The sequence below is a fragment of the Homo sapiens genome, chromosome 18 (assembly GCF_000001405.40).
Source record: "Homo sapiens chromosome 18, GRCh38.p14 Primary Assembly".
NCBI lineage: Eukaryota > Metazoa > Chordata > Mammalia > Primates > Hominidae > Homo > Homo sapiens.
The window spans coordinates 55478090-55496879 of NC_000018.10; the positions used below are offsets into that span (position 1 = coordinate 55478090).

General features: G+C 38.0%; 1 protein-coding gene, 1 long non-coding RNA gene and 1 other non-coding gene across 36 annotated transcripts in view, besides 1 other annotated feature; 2 read left to right on the forward strand and 1 right to left on the reverse strand.

The window, feature by feature from the left end:
• TCF4-AS1 (TCF4 antisense RNA 1) overlaps positions 1-4851 on the forward strand; it is a 30408-nt gene extending 25557 nt beyond the window's left edge. Inside the window, exon 2 of the long non-coding RNA NR_132985.1 lies at positions 4634-4851. This is a non-coding gene — a long non-coding RNA (TCF4 antisense RNA 1). The remainder of the gene's footprint in view (positions 1-4633) is intronic.
• Positions 1-18790, reverse strand: part of TCF4 (transcription factor 4) — a 413773-nt gene that overhangs the window by 255905 nt on the left and 139078 nt on the right. The gene's annotated exons all lie outside the window — the stretch shown is intronic.
• On the forward strand, positions 1132-1209 carry MIR4529 (microRNA 4529). Its single transcript, NR_039754.1, has one exon. It is a non-coding gene; the product is annotated as a microRNA 4529 (primary transcript).
• Positions 10310-11002: an enhancer, noted in NCBI's record as "OCT4-NANOG-H3K27ac-H3K4me1 hESC enhancer chr18:53155630-53156322 (GRCh37/hg19 assembly coordinates)". NCBI's record gives its function as "activates a minimal SCP1, AML or CMV promoter by ChIP-STARR-seq in primed H9 embryonic stem cells {active_cell/tissue: H9 hESC(primed)}" and the evidence as "EXISTENCE:reporter gene assay evidence [ECO:0000049][PMID:30033119]".

Here is an 18790-nt window from a genome sequence, read left to right on the forward strand (position 1 = left end):
AGAAAACAAGAAGCAGGGAAGGGGTTCCGGGAAAGCCGGAGCTGTCAGTAGAGAATAATGATTTATCTGATGAGATTAGCAGACAGTTTGATTAGAAAAGATGCCTTTTTAACACAGCAAAGATTGCAATGTTACTTTAAGATTTGTTGTAGGAAAAAGCCGTGCCTGCCAAATGTGGTCTGTAACAGCACAGGCTAGCCATGAGTGATACAGTGGGAAAATAGCCACTAAGCCAGATTTTATTTGATTTGTACTGATGATTTTTATTAGAATACATGGATCATTGCTTCAACCTTTCCATGTAAAACCAAATCAAATTCAAAAACTCACACATCAGTCACCTAACCTTATGTCATTCCTTCTGCTTTACTCAAGTTGAGCCACATTTCAGCTGATCTGTCCCCGATAAATTGTTCAGCTACTCAAAACTGTTGGGCCAAATTCTGGGAGGCAAGTGGTACACAAAAGAAACCGCGAAATCTGCAGTTACAAGTAAGAAACCTACAGAAAAGAAATACTGCAAGCTTCCGAAATGCAGAATGAATTCAAAACAATATACAGCCATGCAAAACAAGACAAAATGAATTATCCTTATTGTACCAAATGAGTTGTAATTTGTTTGTAAAAGGCCCCCACTTCCCCCAGCTTTTTTTACTTAAGCCCTTTTCAATTCAAGACACTGTAAAGAATTTTGCAACCAGAGAAAGTCCACAGTTCTGTGGCATAAGGAGATTTAAACTGCAACAAACAGTTTTAAAATTAAAAATGTTCAAACTTTAAGGTGAAAATTATAAATGTTAAATATTATATTGGTGGGAAATCTCTGTATTATTTAGAAGAATTGTTTCATTAAAAGGAATGAAGTTTAATTACATGAAATATGGCAATGGGTTTCCAAAGAAAAAGTGCCAATAATCTACTTCCCACCATTTCTTTACCTTTTTTGTTTTTGCATTAACATTTTCCCTTTCTTCCTCAAACATTGCAAGTTTCATTTTAAACCTGTAACCAATACTTATGTCCATTTCTAGTTAACAAATCAGTTCCATCTTCTGATTTCCTTTAGTGTCCCAAACCACTCTGAAATGCAAGTTATTATTTTCTCCTCAGAGAAGGTAAATAACTTCCCCAATGACAGGCCATCAGCAGTCCAATGAAGACATGAAGACCCAATGTCTTCATTGGACTGCTGATGGCCCGTCACTGGGAAAGTTATTTATATGTGGCTCATGCTCAACCTCTGGAAGACACTGGATTTTATCAAATACCCAATACCTCTGAAAACTAGTGGTCACCAAACTTGCAGGCCTCTGGTGTAACCCTCTGTGGCTAAAGCCAGGCTATGTTTTCACCAATCCCCATCTCTTTCTGCCCGTGACCACCTAGGAATCTGAAATTCCCCATCTTCCTTTGCAGTCATGGGATCATATGACTAGGATTTGGCCAATAAAATGTGAGCAGAAGTAATACTTGCCTTGTCCAGACCTGGCCCTTAAAATTTCCCATGTAATCGTCTATGCACCACTCTCCTTTTCCTCTTTGATCAGCCTGATGCCAATATCTAGTGAACTCCAAGGTCCTAGGGGATAGCAGACCTGAGCCATGGAAGAAGCCAGGCTAGGACCAGAGCCCACCCACGTTGCTCTGTGACACCGGAGGGTAATAACCCTCTGCAGTGTTAAGCTACTGAAGTTTGGGGATTGTTTGTTCCAGCAATTAGCATACCCTGACTAATGCATCTTCCAAAACAGACTTCCGTGAATTCTGGCACTATGATTCTATCTTCCAAGTAAAGCAAACATACGCAGTTAGAGCTGGCACCAGTCAGAATTCTGAAGCAGGGGAAACTGGTCTTTGAACTATCCTTCTTTCCCTTTCAGACTTGTTTTCCCCTCTTAGCATTTCCTCCCTCTGAGCACCAAATGTTCTCAGGCTGCTCAGTCTCGTCTGTCTCAAGAAAATAGACACAAGATATTCATTATCCATTCTTTCTCTTAACCATTACCTTTTGAATACCATGAGCTGCCTGCTACCTGGGAAATTCTGAAGAACATCTTTAACATCTCACATTGAATGTATCCTCATCTGTAAAATGGGAATGACCGTATTTACCCTCCAGTACTGTTGTGATGATTACAGATAACAAGGAAAATGTTACCATGGAACCTGGAACACAGTAGGAACTCCAAAAAAAAAAAAAAAAAAAAGCGGGGGGGCGGGGGGAGGATATTATGTGTATTACACTTACTGTTATGGTCATAGCATGATATTTGACACCAAAAGGATACAAAATGTACATAAAATAGGACGCTTTCTCTCTGAAATATATAATCTAGATTGGGAAGAAAATCTTACGAAAATAAAATACAGTATTTGGTTACTAAAACAAACATAGCAGAATTTTTGAGAAAGGTGAGTTATATGGGCTAGAATCAACACTTGCAAGGTACTGGTGATTTAGGACAGAGTGATACTAAATTTCAAAGGGGCCTAACAGAAAGGTTCATGATTAACCTAAGGGAATAAACTGCTACACCTCAACATTTTTCATGTCACCTTGTGTAAGGCGTGGCCCTGTTCCCGGTCTCTTTATTGATTCAGTTATTAATTCTGTGTCAACCCTAATACAGATGTCACTAAAATCAAACAAACCCTAGTATCACAGTGGTGGGGGACAAGGATTGATTTTACTTTGTACAAAATCTGGCATAGGCCAGGCGTGGTGGCTTATGGGCCGGGTGCAGTGGCTCACGCCTGTAATCCCAACACTTCGGGAGGCTGAGGAGGGTGTATCACTTGAGGCCAGGAGTTTGAGACCAGCCTAGGCAATATGGTAAAACTCTGTCTCTACTAAAAATACAAAAAATTGCTGGGCGTGGTGGCAGGCACCTGTAATCCTAGCTACTTGGGAGGCTGAGGCAGGAGAATCACTTGAACATGGAAGGCGGAGGCTGCAGTGAGCCAAGACTGTGCCACTGCACTCCAACCTGGGCAACAGAGCAAGACTCCATCTCAAAAAAAAAAAAAAAAAAAAAAAAAATCTGGGATGTATGTAATTTGGAAAGAAGGAAAGAAAGCAGTGGCATCCTGGTGAGCTCTCCGGCATTATATGTGTATTTCTCTAACTCCATTTCAATTTTGTAACACACTGGTAACTCGGAACTGGCACAATGTTGGAAGTATTTACACCATGGAAATTGGCAAAAATGACCAATAACGGCTTTTATTCTTTGAAAAAGAGGTTATTAAACATTTACCACCACATCAATGAAAACAATCATTCATTGTGAGGTATTTGTACTCAAATTGCTTCATTTAACTTTCACAGCCATTACTCAGGTAGACTGTATTATCCTCATTTTACAGATGAAAAATCAGGCCTCACAATGGTAACTGATTGGCAAGAAATCCTGTTGTCTGTGCTCCCTGCACGAAAAACCAGGATGCTTACAAAAGTGAAGAACACCTGGATTTCTTTTTCTCAGTATATCGAAAAGATATTCCCATGAAGACAGAAAGCTGTACTTTAAAAACATCTAAATTCAGGCAGTACTCCTCCCAAAACCTTTAATTTTCTACTCGGCTTCATTTTGCTTCTCTACTCATGTAACTCTCCACTTAATCAATATATACTTCATTTTTACCACCCTGACTCCTAGACGTCCAATTCAACATTTTGGACCTATGTCCTTCCAAGAATAATCCCTTACAATGTCTCAAGAAATAGACTTATGCCTAATGACTGCGATACGTTATGAACAATCTTTAAATCAGTGATTCTTCATACACCTGTCCTCACCAAGGTAGTCTATTCCATCTTGGCCTGAGCTACAGTTACAATGAGCAAGTATGGGTTTAGAAAGAGCTGGGAGATTCCTTGAATTCAGATGAGGTTTCTGATATTTATTTAATAATGACTGTTGTCAACAGCTAGCATCAGGATTGGAGAAGGGCCTAGGGGTGAGAAAAGCCTGAAAACTTCAACAGGTATCAGGTGCAATCTGAGATACAGTGGATCTACTATATTAGCAAGGACAAAATGGTTCTTTGTACCCCTCACCTCTGACACTTCCATGTCAACTTCACCCTAAAGCAGGCTTCTCTCATGGTCATAGGATTCCAGATCTACTTGCTTCCTCATTGACTTTCAATGGCAGCAAGTTCAGTCTATAAAAGAGCAAAATTCCTGCTGAACTTTGTCCTGATTGGGACCATCATGGAACAATCCCTAAAGCCAAAAAATACCATGCATGGATTTGCTTAGGCCTGGATGACCCGAATTAATCACCGTGATGAGAGGGATAGGATTACCTTGATTGTTTTAGTCCAGTCACAGTAGTCCACCAGGGATGTAGTGATCCCACACAAATCACACAGATAGCACACACTGGGGAAGGAGTAGAGTATACAGTAGTGAGACAACCACAGGTTGGAGACAGCGCCCCAAGAACCACTGGCATATTAATAGTGTACAGTGTATTGCTTAAGAGGTCTTTGTGAACAGACATGCAAACTCCCTCCTTCAGATACTTCAGTCTTCCTATTGATGTCAGGATTAGAGCAACTTTCTTAATTGTGAACATCAAGGTCATCCTGATAACATACCCTCACGCCCTCGTGTTCTCTCTTCCAGTTACCTTGATTGCCTTTGACAACACTCAAGTACTTCATTGGCCCTTCTGCTGCAGAACTTGAACACGTGGTTCTTCAAATACAGTACTTTCCTCCCAACTCCCACCACTCCACTTTCCTACTATGACTATTTCACTCCTCTATCAACTCAGCTGAATCATCATTTCCTTGGGTCAGCTTTCCTTGTCCCCCCTGACTAGCAATAAATGTCCTCCTCAATCAAGTGTCTTGTCCTTCTCCTTCATTGGACTTGTCATAGACGTAATTTTATATTTTTAGGATTCTCAAGTAATGTCTTGCCCACTGAAGAAAAAGCTGCATAAACACAAGGGATGTGTCTGGTTTGCCTTCTATCCCACCCTCAGTACCCAGCACGGGGTAGGGGCAATAAGGCACCCTCGGCGACTCTTGGTGAAATGGATGGCTGTGTCTTTAGCCCCTCAAAGGGGCCGTCCATATATCCAAAATGCCAGCTGAATTCATAAAGTTACGAACCATTCTGCAGTGCTCCTGTGACTTTGAGAAGAATACCTAACATGATGAAAATGTATAATGAGTTTTCATCTTGTCCACTGTTAGCTAGAGAAACTACAACCACAGGTATGCTATAAAGGTTAGTTTGGCACAATACATCTTTTCTCCATAATTTAAATACTCATTCGTTTCACAAATATGCAAGTACAGATTAAGATTCAGCAAGAAATATGCAGATCAGTCCTCTTAACACATTGAAACACTTCACTTGCCAGTCACATGACCAGATGGAGTTAATGTACAAGTCTCAAGCTCAGTGATTTCTATAGTAAAAATGCAGTGAAACAGTCAGACTTCATGTATGCCTTATCCCCTGACAGAAATAATCTCTTATATGGTCATTGTAAAGGGAAATATTTGCCTCTTTATGCTCACTTTGATATGCACCCTAGTGATTTGATACATATTATATAATCATTGGCCTCAGGACAGAGGAGAAAACAACTGTTACCTCTACAGTGAAACAGCTTTCTGTGATCAGGTGATAGCAAGATACAAATTGGGTTAGGCATTCTGCGTCACTTACTTGGATGGCAGTTATAGCTCAGCATTTTTTGGAAAACCTTTCCCCTATAACTTCCCCATTGATGAACAAGAGTACCATTAATATTTAAAGTTCTGCTTCATTTATAATAACCAGAACCACCACACTAACAATAAATATCCTAGAGCAGTTTACTGCTTTCAATTTTTCAAAGCACTTTCGTGCACAGTATTTCATCTTCCTTTACAACTTTATACATCAGAGAAAGTCAGGGCTTGGTCCAAGTCCTCAAGGCAAGTTATTGGAAAAGCTGGGAGGAGAACCTATAATTTCTCCTTTCAACCTCTTTCCAAACTGCCTCTTACCTATTTTCTTATGTTATGAGAGAGAAGTGACATCTGCAGAAACTGGAACTCCAAATTTGGATGAAAGATGTTCTCTGTAGAAAAAGTTATATTTCCTCTTTCAAATTAATTATTCAGAATCCCAATTTCCTAATTATAAGGGCTTTTCTTTTGGGTTAAATATGCCCCACAGAAAACCGCAACGGTTTAAATTAATACTGACTCTGAGAAGCATTTTAAATTCATTTTCATAGACTTTTTTCCTCTTCCTCTACCCAGAAACATAGAGAATATGTTTAAATTAAAGATGCATTTGAGAGATGACAATTCATATCACTTTGTAAGCCATACCTGAAAATTCTCCAAGGCAAGAATAAGTAATCAAACCTATTAACAATTCACCTATGAAGAAAAGTGCTGCTGTAAATAATGAGTTTAGGCAAAGTCTATAGTTCAGTCCAAGTTGCTAAAATCTCGTCTTTTTCTTAATTGTGCATGGCAGTGGGGCCCATAAGTAAACTGAGTGCGGGCCTTGGAAACCAGTCCTTGTGTGGACAGAACATCTATTATAAAAGCTCACTCACATGGACTTAAGCATATGACTGTACCCCATGTGTTGTGGTAGAGAAAATAACAACAGATTTAGATAAATTTTAAAAATACAAACATGACTTCCTTTTTTATTCAGAATGTGAGTTTATCAGAAGATACAATGACACTGTTAGTTCTGTTGGTCCAATATCTATTTTTCTCTTCTTCCTTCTTAGTAGAACGTGCAGCAGTTTTTGGTATAATTGCTATTTGTTCACATAGCCACCACTCCTCCTAGTGGATCAGGAACAGGTGACCTCATTTCCAGTTCCAGAGGGAAACCCCCAAGTCCTACAGCCAATCACACCCCTTGCCTTCCCCAGGCCAGATACTGGTTTCAAAATGAGCACTAAGACACAAAGGTGCAGCCTCTACTGGGTTCTTGGAAATATCTCCCTACTCCAAGGAAAGAGACACATCAGTAGACGACCACTTATCCTCTTTGATGATTTTTCTGTTTGGATGTGATGCCCAGAACCAAAGCAGGAATTTCCTTATCATTCCTAGGATGAAGGCAGTACACGGAGGAAGGAAACCACCAGAGATTTTGGAATAGGTAACGTAATGTAAGACATTTCCCTATGTTTAAGTCCATTTGAGTCAGGGTTTTCTTTTGTTGCAGCTGAAAACATCCTAAAATAAACAGTAGATCTCCCCCTCCACCAGCACCCCAGTAGGTTTATGAACTTACTGCTCACTGAGGTTCTTTAACAAGAAATACCAACTCTGGATAAATCTAGACTTCATCTATCCAACGGCAATCCTCTCCTGGCCACTCATTTTTGTCTAAGTCCACAGAAGCATCATTTTCAGGAAATGTATAAGTTACATGCTGCATAATTCCCCATTTAACCCTTCTCTGATCTGTGCATGCATCTTTGCTCTCACCTCTCCTGGTCCCTGTGGCCCTCACATGAATAGAATCAGCCAGCAAATGCCTAATGAGCACTTAGCACAGGTAACGTTAATGGCTACAAAAGGTAACTAAAAAGCATTTTTTCTTTTGGATTTACCAATATCATACCTACACACATGCTACATACACAGACTAAGGACTGCAGAATTTTCCTCATGTATTTAGCTATACGCATTTTTCTGGGAAGACAGTCTACAGCTTGCATTGGATTTTCAAAGCAGTCCCTGACTTGATGAAGGTTAAGAACCTCACTCTGGATCAGCTACCATTTGGCAAACCACACTGTCTGGATGTGTCACACACACAGAATGTGTTCCCCAGAGCTTCATATTTCTTGCTTGAGGCAAACCATCTTTAAGTATTAATAATACTGAAGTTTTACGGTATTTTGGACTAAATAAAATTTTGTGGGCTCTCCTGGAGCCTCAAAGGCCATTTATATTTTCATTTCAATAGAAGGAAAAATAAATCCTACTACTTAGAAATATGGGACAGAACCTTTCTGTTTGTACCTCTTCAAATAAATTATGAATCCTGAGCTCAAAATTTAGTTGAAGAGACAAAAAGTATATTTGAAAAATAACTAATACAGGGAAAAAGTTTTAAGTTTAAGCTACAAATGGTAAATAAACACCAAGGGATTGTTACTGAAATAGTTTTTGAAAAGGAGACGGAAGTTTCCTTGAAGCAGGACTCTTAAGAAAAGGCAAGAAGGAAAGCCGGGCATGGTGGCCATGCTGCCTGTAATCCCAGCACTTTGGGAGGCTGAGGTGGGCAGATGGCTTGGGGCCAGAAGTTGGAGACCTGCCTGGCCAACATGGTGAAATTCCATCTCTACTAAAAATACAAAAATTAGCCGGGCGTGGTGGCGCACACCTGTAATCCCAGCCACTCAGGAGGCTGAGGCAGGAAAATCGCTTGAACCCGGGAGGCGAAGGTTGCAATGAGCCAACATCACACCACTGCACTCCAGCGTGGGTGACAGAGTGAGACTCTTGTATCAAAAACAAAAAACAACAACAAAGAAAAGAAGACAAGAAGGAAATCAAATATTGGAGAGCACAAAGAAGTGAATTCCAAGGTGTGGCCAGAGAACAGGTGAAATCGTAGAGCCCAGGTAGCAAAGGGTAACGCTTTAACTCAAGACGCATGGAAAAATCAAGACCAGTCTTATTTCACTGAAGAGTGAGTCTAACAAAGTCATGAAAGGTAAGAAGATCTGGGACTTCTCCATAGAAATGCTTCAAAACATTTTACTTGACCTCACTCAATGTAACTAACTGCAGCCTTTGCCAACCCCCTCCCCTCCTTTCCTCTTTTAACTAGCACGTCTCATAATAAGGACCTGAAAACAGGTTCCCTAACTTCAGCAAAGGTGCCCACTCCAATCTACTATGAGCCACTGACAACTGTCACTTCTCCATACAAAAATCTTCAGTGGCTCCCTATTGCTTTGGGTATAAACTTAAAATTCCTTAGGCTAGCATTTAAGGTGCTCAGGATCTGTGTGTACTTTCTTCTCATGTTACTTTACACTGGCACTTCCTTCTGTGCCTCAATCACACCAGACTCCTCACCGTTACCTAATATATCCCTGGCTGTCGAGTCTCGTGTCTTTCCTCAACCTGGAAAACATTCTTTCCCACACAACAAATGCATGAAGAATGAATAAATAAATGCATAATGCCATTGAGGAAACACTCACACACAGATATCAATCAATCAATTACATACATACATATATTTATATTTGTTGGTTGGTATCTTTGTTTATTGATCCCCACCAGGATGCAAGCTTCAGAAGGACAGGAACTCTGGGCACCTATGAACCAGGGTTGACACCAATGCCTGGCTAAGGGCTCAATGAACATTTGTCATGTGAAGAAGTGCATTTATTAAACATGAAAATTCAGAATCTTTGTCACAAAAAGAAAACAGAACCAAATTCATATAATTTGACAAAATAATCATCAATAACTAAAAGAATGTTTTTTAAATGGTGATAGAAATATATTATTACAAGATACAATATAATAAGTAAGAAAGTATTTTTTCCCAGCAAGAGATTCCATTGTATGCTTTATTTCTCTAAAACACTGAGTGAGGGGATCGATAAAAAAAAAATAGACAAGGATGGGATAACAACTTGATTTGAAGCATAAAAATTTCTATGAGATGAAATTCACAAATTATTACCCCTTTAAAATGTAAAACAGATTTGAAATGGCATGACTTGACTACCTGATATATAGTTTATTACTGGTTTACCCAAGGGATTGTATACAAAGCTCTCCATTTTCTTAAAAAAAAAAAAGTAGAACCAGCTGGTAGATATATACAGTGCCCTTCAAAAGCCCCTGTTAAAGCCACAAATAATTGCAAAACTTGTTCAAATCAAATGGACAATTTATTTTATGTATGATTTTGCAAAGCCTTTACAAATATCCATGGATGGCTTTGCACCCCATTTGAAAGGATTTGCTATAAAACTGCACTGGCATAAACAAACAAAACTATTCTCAATATTTATACTTATAACAGAAACCTATGAGGTTCTATATTCAGTTGTGGTCATGAAAATCCTTACTCCCTGGGTTTTCATTGGCTATAGTCTAATATACAAAACAAACAGGGTTTTCCGTTTAAATGTGACACACATACATTCCGTTTTGGTGTCCGTATTTCAAGCATTTTTCAAAAATTCAGTCACAAGGGAGAAAAGCAAAGAGATGTATACATTTTAAAACATACCATAGCCTTCTGTAATATAGAAACGATTACATAAACAGGAGTGAAATTGGTTTTTTTAAAGTCTTTCCTCCAAGTTTTTGGCCCCAGAAGAGGTTGAGAATTAGGAGATGGAGAAGAGAGGGAAAAAAAAAGGAGTATTGGCCAGTAAAATGCCAAACAAAGCAACTGAGCTAGGATAAAAATTGAAAGGTGCTTGCCAAGACAAAAGCACAACTTAAGCTGCAGCTCTGTCCTCCCAGAGACTACACAGGGCAGGGAGCCTGATGCTACTAACCTAGGGTTTCTAATGATTCCAATCCTGCATCCTCACATCAGAGGACAGGAAGGAGAAAGCAAACGGCTGTTCAAACAGCCATCACCAAGTAAAACAAGGGACACTCCCTTGGCTCCTGCAGCTTAGGTATGCCTCAGGAACCTTTTGTTGTTATTGTTCTCTTTTTTCTCTGTCTCTTTGTAATTCAGAAGTGTAGCTTCCACGTAAAGAAGAGAAGTCAAAGGGAGAAAAGACTTTCTTTACAAAACAAGCTTTCCAAACACACCTGTCCCCTATTTTGACGATTGTGTGTACCTGTGCTGATATTAGAAGCATGATCTGTAATCCTCCAATTTACCCCACAATTTCCTGTCACCTAGAATCTCTGTGGCAGTTCATTCTCTAAAGTTCATACAAATACGAATCCCAAGAGTGTGGTTGGGGACACATGACAGAGGCTGGTCCAGGGCCACCACTCCCAGTGGAGCCCAGGAATCTGCAGTTACAAAACACATCCAGCATATCAGGATGTGGGGGCACCCACTTTGAGAAGTACTGGGGCATCAGTTAGAGCCACAGTTTTCCTAATTCCAACTGTCCCTCAGATCTGGAGCACTGTTGAAAATACATATTCCTGGGTAGCTCCAAGAGATACTGAAGCAGATTCTTCTAGATGGGGCCCAAAAGTCTGAATTTCACCAAGCCTCTCCTCTGCCCACCCCTTGACCTCCCCACATACTGTCTGATGGCAGGAAGTGAGCTGTAATCTCTTTCAGGCTCTTTGGGAGGCACGTTGCCTACAAGTGCCACGAGCTGCAGTTGAAGAGAAGATAATAAAGTTCAGAGCCTCAAGTACCAGGCGAGTATCAGGGCAGATGTTAGTCATCACCCCAAACAAGAAAAGTGGACCCACAGTGCACCAAGAACTCCAGAGAACCGAGTGGTATAAATGATGAAAGTACTGATAATCTGAACTCAGGAGGGGAAACTACCAAAAAAAATAGCTGAAGACCAAACAAACAAAAAAACAAAAGAAACCTTTTATGAGGGAAAATGATTTGCCATTTTCCACAAGGCAATCTGCATCCTGAACACAAATAAATGCACCACACAAGAGGATGTAATTTTGAAACAGACCTAGAAATCCTCAACGTTGCTTTCAAATCTCCCCCACAGGACTCACCAACACTCAATGAGAGTCTGTTCTTAAACAACCTGAAACCACGAACACCTAAGCACATGTGAAATATCAAAACAAAACACTTCCCCCACATCCCAATCCCGGCTCGGTGATGAAAAGCAGTCGTCATTTGATTCAATCAGACCACATTCAAAGCAGGTGGTTCTGAGCATTATTTGAGCACACAGTGCCAGCTCCTTCTCCACACGCACCAAAATACATGCGGATACTTTTTTAATGACACATGAAGAATTAGAAAGAACGGTTTCAAACCTTTTTGTGGGTAAAATTTAATCCCCACATTTTTAGTTAAAAAGCATAAAGAATATCTTACTGAGAAAATGTGCCTCAGAAGAGCAGCAAAGCATAAGGAAATACCAAGAAATTAAAATAAGAGTTGTGTGAAGTCTTCATATCAAAGCCAGTCAAAATGGGATTTCTGCGGTTATTTTGCCTCTCTTTGGCAGGCTCCTTTAAAAAGGCAGATTCAAGATATTTTTTATTTATTTAGATATATTTATTTATATTTGCAAATTAGATGCCAAAACAGCAACAAACGTGGGCTAGAGAGGCACATATTTCTGAACTCCAATCCCTTTCTATTTATTAACTATATGGCAGGAGTAATATACTTAATCTTATAGCTCAGTTTGCTCATCTGTGAAATGGGAATAATATATACTGTTTGACAGATTAAATGAGATTACTGATGTACTATACTTAGCAGAGTATCATACACGTTGATATGAATAGTACATGCAAGTGTTTATTATCAACAACTGCTGAAATTAACCTTTATTTGACAAAAATAATTTAGATAGTTTGATTTAGAATGGAGCAAAAAAAAAAAGAAACTGAATAATCACATAAAATATGACTTAATAACTTATTGTGTAGTTCAGGCACGTTAGCAACCTCATTAAAGGCAGACACCATTTCCTCCACTTTCTCCATAAGGCCAGAGAAAGGAATACGGAGATGACCTGACCATTCCACATAAGTAAGTGCTTAACAAATTCTTCAATTTAAAAATAAATCCCATTTGGACTGCACCAGTATTTTTACAAACATCTTCAGTGCGGTATAGAAATGTTGACATAGAAAAGGAATGACTGAGAATGCTATTTAGTTGAGAGAGATTAGAGAAGATATTGGAACAGTATTAATGGAAAGGTTAAGAAAAAGCAAGGAGAAAAAAGGAAGTCTTTCAAAAGATGATTTTCCATTAAACTTCAGTTGATTATGGGGGAAAAAAAATCCAGGCTATTAGTCTGCAGTGTTGGTTAATAGTTTTCCTTATTTTGAGAAAACAATGAAAACTAATGAGTTACATCCAGCAGCTTTAAAAAATGAATTCTGTGCATAATTCGTAAGCCCTTCACCACATGCCTCTATGCAGTCCTTCTTTTAGTTAAGGTTTCAAATTAAGGTTATTATTTATGAGAAAAAGTTGGAGAGACATTAAGAGCTATAACAATACCCCCAGACCATCATGGGGGCGGGACGGCGGTGGTTCCATTCACAATGAATGGAAGACATACTCCAGGCCAAATATTTAAACAGGGGTGCAAAGGATACACACACAGCAATCCGCAGGCACCTGTCACTGCAAAATTCAACACTGACACAATCGAAAGGGCATTTATGTTCACAAATCAAGCAATTATATCCCTAACTATCCATCTGCATATGCAATTACCCAGTCTGTTGCACAGAGAAGCAGATTTTTGCAGGTGTTTCCTTACCATCTTTCCTTCAAAATCCAGTTGCCCTTTATGTCCCCAAATCTGGGCACATACCAGTTCTCTAATTGAATCTTCCTGGCACTATGGTGAGGATCAAGTGTTATGTTTTCACATACCGCGCTCACACACAGAAGATTTTGTAATCTAATCAGGCTCTTGCTCCTGATCACCACTTAACTAATAGTTTAATGGGCTCCGTTTACACCTTGATGTTAAAGCATGTGCAATGTGCCTCATGACTCCTTTGATGAATCTGTTCCTAGGTTCTCTGACACATTCCAATTTTGCATATGTACTTTAAAATCTCAGCGTTAAAACTCTGGTATGCCAAGTAAAGTTAAATAAACAGAATGACAAAGCAGTAGACAGAGAAAATGAGCATGTGTGGTTGAGGGCAGTGCATTTAATCAAAAAGGAGCTTTTTTGAATTTTGGAATCATAGAAATTCAAATTGCAAAGTGTTTTCTATACTCAGAACTTGTTAAACATTTTGTTCCGATTGGTGCAAATTGTGCGTCTGTGCAGTCCTATTATACTTGAGAAATCAATAACTTCTCAGCCCTGAGGAAATCTAGGGACCGGTTCCCCTTTATGTCAATCTCAGACCTAAGTTAATCTCAGACTCAGCTTCATAGAATCTGAGGAACAGGACATCAGATGGCATCAAATCCAATAATCATCACAGGAATAGAAACCAAGGTCCAAGTAAGTGCAAAGATATACCATGTCTCAGACTGTGCTTAAAGGATTGATTCTAGAACCTTCTTATGTTTGAGAGTATTTCTAACTTTAATTTCTTCACTGTATGAATTTAATGTTCATGTTCTGCTACACAATCATTTATATGCATGCTTCTTTAATTTCCTAGATTTTCCTGGATGTACAGTTAAACAACAAAGTCTATTTAAAATAGCAGTAATTTGCAGTTCTAGAAAAGAGAAAAGTTGGGGGGTCAAACTTCTTTCTTCCTTACAGAAGCTTCTAAAAACATAATTAATATGTTCTTTTTAACAAATATTCTACACTACCTTTAAAGCATTGTTATTTAGATTTGAACAAGACACAGATTATTTTCTACTTGCTGTAAATTAGGCAAGCCTGCCAGGCAAGGAGACAACCAAACCTACAGCTCAAGTCTCCTGACTTCTTATCTTCATACCAAGGATGAGATATTGCTGGTCCTGAGATAGATCTTATTTGCCCTGCACAGGATTCTTGGAAATGTTAACTGAATGAATGAGGGGGCACGAATGCCCCAGTTGCCCTAAACTCACCTCTCCTTAACATCTGCTTCACTCATTCATACTATCTGGCTAAAGCCCAAAGTCAGGTGCATTGTCAAGGCTCTGCTCTATACTCACTGGTCACCACTGTGACCAAACTGTTAAGAGGGTAAGAGAAGGAGACACATACACATATCCACCAACACCTCCACCCACAAAGACAGGCCTCTCTTGGAGAATGGACAAAAGCCATCGATAGAGCCAATTTCACATCTCCATTGACATAGCTACCAATATCTGAGAAGATATAGCTATTATTTGGTATTAAAATACTCGGGTAGAGGACCTCCATATCTGTTCACATGTTACCAGTAGTATTTTTCAAGACGACAGGACAGTCAGCATGAGTGGCACAGTGACCCTAGAAAACTGTCCTAAACAAAGTCTATTTTAAAAAACAAGAAACTAAATACCATTACCAACTTGAAAGGCCTTAATTTAAAAAACCTTTTGGGCTGAGTTAGCATTTCACAAAACTCTTCTGCAGAATGTTCCACATGGGAGGTATTTCATGAAAAAAGGAGTTCTCTGGTCAAAGCAATTTGGGAATCATTACAAATAATATCACTCTCTAGGGGTGTTTTACAATATTTAATGCAGAATGGACTGAAAATAAAATTTCTATTAACATGTCTTGAAACAAGCTTTTTTTTAAAATGCTGGTCTACATTATTCTTTCAGAAGGCTCAATAGGAAAAGGGAAGTAATGTAAATGATAAATTACTGTTTTCTGAATTATATGAAATACATTAAAAGCAAATAATGGAATATAGTATAGGCTTCAATATTTACACATCTCCTTGATAATTCTTGAACACAGAAAAATGTGGGAAAGTTAATTTATAAATTACTTGATGAATCTTATTAATATATTGTTTACTTAAGTTTGTGTAAATTAATACAAAATTACACAAATACACAAAATACATATCCCAAGTAAAATATCCAAATACCAAAATGCCTTTGTCTCTCTGCAAAAGATGTGACAGTAGGTTCTTGCCTTCAGTTTTTGTAGTCTACAGTTTCTGTAGACTAGTTAAGCTAGTCCTTAATCCAATTTATTTCCCCAGGTCAAAGATCCTGCACCTGTCCCATCAACCCAAATATAAACAGCAAGATATATTTCACATACATTGAAATAATGTGAGGTGGTGAAACCAACAGACTTAGAAGATTGAAAAATATTGGACTTGAGGTCACATTTGATTTTGTAAATGTTTTCCTCATTTTTATATTACTTTGCATATACTCCCCTACTTAAATATTATATTCTTAAATAACTACTCCAGTTGGCATTGACAGCTAGATTTTTACTTCTCTGACCAAAACACAGCAATGTGATTGAAATATTATGGACACACACACACACACACACACACAGATTAGTCAGGCATGTACAACCAGGAAGAAAAAGAAGTGAAGCAATTTTAGTCAATACAAGCTCTTCTCCAACTAATAAAGTAACCACAAACTGTACATATATTCTATTTGAGAAAAAAAAAAAAAGAAATGAAAAACTGTGGAATCACATGAAAGGTGGTTTGGATGCACACAGAGGAAAAATGGCCAGTGAGAATAAAGGGACTTCTCAGCTAAATAGAGAGTCTTTTAAGATTAGTATTATGATTTAAGTCTACTTCAAAATGGTTTCAGCCTTATTAAAATTACATTAAAACTAGCCCTGATGCATTTGCATTTAAAGGGTTGCCTCACTCTACTTAGCAGGCGCTGAATTCAGTCCCCATTGATTTATAGTATTAGGGCACTACAATCACAGACATTTTTCAGGATAAAGGACAATAATACCCTGACCAAAAGGGTTTAAGGATGCAAGTCATCAGGAATGTGAATAAGAGAACTACATTTATTTGCACAGCAGAACACATTCACCTGCAACATTAAAACAACCCAGAGAATGCTAGACAAGGGAATTACTCTTCTATTACATGGAAGCCTTACCAGTAGGACCACATTCAATCATGAACATTGTACCCTTGTAAGAACATAAATCTTGAAAAGGAAAGAGATAATAAACTATTTTGTTATTTTAAAGCATCTCAGTTCAAGTTATTAACTTTGATCCTTTCAATCCTATACTAATAGAAAGGAGTACCTTATTGCAACATCTATAAAGATCTGAAACAGATAATGAAGCCTTTCTTTAAAAAAAAAAAAAAAGAAATCTACACAAAGAAACACAGCTCAAAGAAGTGGGAGTCTTTACTCTCTTTTAAAAGACTATAAATGCATTCTTAGGTCTGGTTCTTTAATCATCAAGAGCTCAACCACAGGGTTACTGGTTTATTATTTTAACCAATTCACAACCTGTTTGATTCAGACTGTTGACTCATTTAAGCCAATAGATAAGTTGTTTCAGTGTTTTGCACCAAGTGACTTATCAAAAACCTACATTAACATGAGAGAATCAAAAGCCAGAACTAAAGTTCCCATTTCTGTCACACTTAGCCAGCCCAAAAAGTCGGTGGAGAATATAAGAAGGTATTTGGGAAAAAAAAAAAAAAAGAAGGTATTTGAGATACAAAAGTTGGATACTTGGCCACTTATTTCTACTCCAACTGTAGAATAATTTAACTTTTAAATCTTGTCCTAAACATACATAGATGTGAAAGAACTTTAGAAGTTCAAAGTGTCACATAAAATCATTATATTCATTTAATTATGAGAGTTGTTCAGCAAGTACAAGGTTTTATGAGAGCTAATTCTGTTCTACAGTTTAGTTATTAAAAGAAAAATGTGAAGCTAAAAATTCCTGGGCTGCAAATAAATATACTTTTAAGGACCAATGTTTTTAGGAACAACCAAATCAGTTTTTGGAGATGTCACACTTTGTACATTAGTTTCAATATCAACACAGAAAAATACACATTTAACAGGCGTGACAAAAAAGGACAACAAATAAGATTGATGTTGTAGAAAACAATGTCAAAAAATTGTATACTAGGCAGCAATTCCTTTAACAGCAATATAATCTAGACCTAAGAAAAGAGCCATTTTCCACCGCTCTTTAATTATGAAAAGGAATTTATGTTCATTTTTTTAAATGTTGATTTCTGAATCATTTGAATAATTCACGACCTGTCCTTTACATGGAGGTGAGTGGTGAGGTCTTTTTAATTGAGGCAAGAATCATTTCCAAGAGTCGTCTGAGTTCTTCTGCATTTTTCCCTTTCCTAGGTTTGGGCATCAGGAGGTATCTTCAGGTTCTCTCTTCGTCTGCTTCCTAGTGTATAGCCACAAGCCTACTATACTGTGATACATAAAACCCAGAGATGTGGCAAATGAAAGTGGGAGCAACAAAACTACTACAGCGTAAGCCTGTAATGCAAGGCGGAGGAAGGAAAGTAAATGCTTAAAGTTTTCATACAGCTAACTCTGTTGATAGCTGCCAAGTAAAGAACCTAAATTCAAGTGCTTTATAATTGTTACAAATTGTGCCAAAGTACAGCGTGTTACAATAAATTATGAAGCTTATCTAAATTATAAAAGTAATTAAACTTTCCTCAGATACTCATAACTCTGCCCTCCATAAATTTTCTGTTCATTGCATATTCAATACCTATGTGTTCCAGTAAAACAAAAAAACTAAAAAAAAAAAAAACCAGAAGAAAGAACAATCTCCTAAGAACGATGATGCACAAATAGGCATACAGCATAATCTAAACTGCAGAAATGCATGAACAGTTCCTCTCAAGATCTTCAACCATAACAAATGTTAATAAAAATATTTATACTAGAAACAATTCTCAGCTTTTTTGAAGTTTTGTTTTCCTCTTATTATTATAGACATTTGTTTTAACATGAGTTTTCTCCTCCATCCCAACATTTCCTACTGCTGCATGATGCCATAAATCTTTGTTAGCATATTACTGTACAATCTGTCACAATAATAACAAAAATAATGAAAGCCATAGTAACCCAGTTATATAGTCCTTGCCACTTGCAAGAGTCCCAACTTCTTTATATACTCTAAATAGTAGAATATATACAGGATCCATCAATTGCTGAAACACAGCAGTCTACAATGGAATACAGCTGCTGCTGAGAATCAAACTGAAC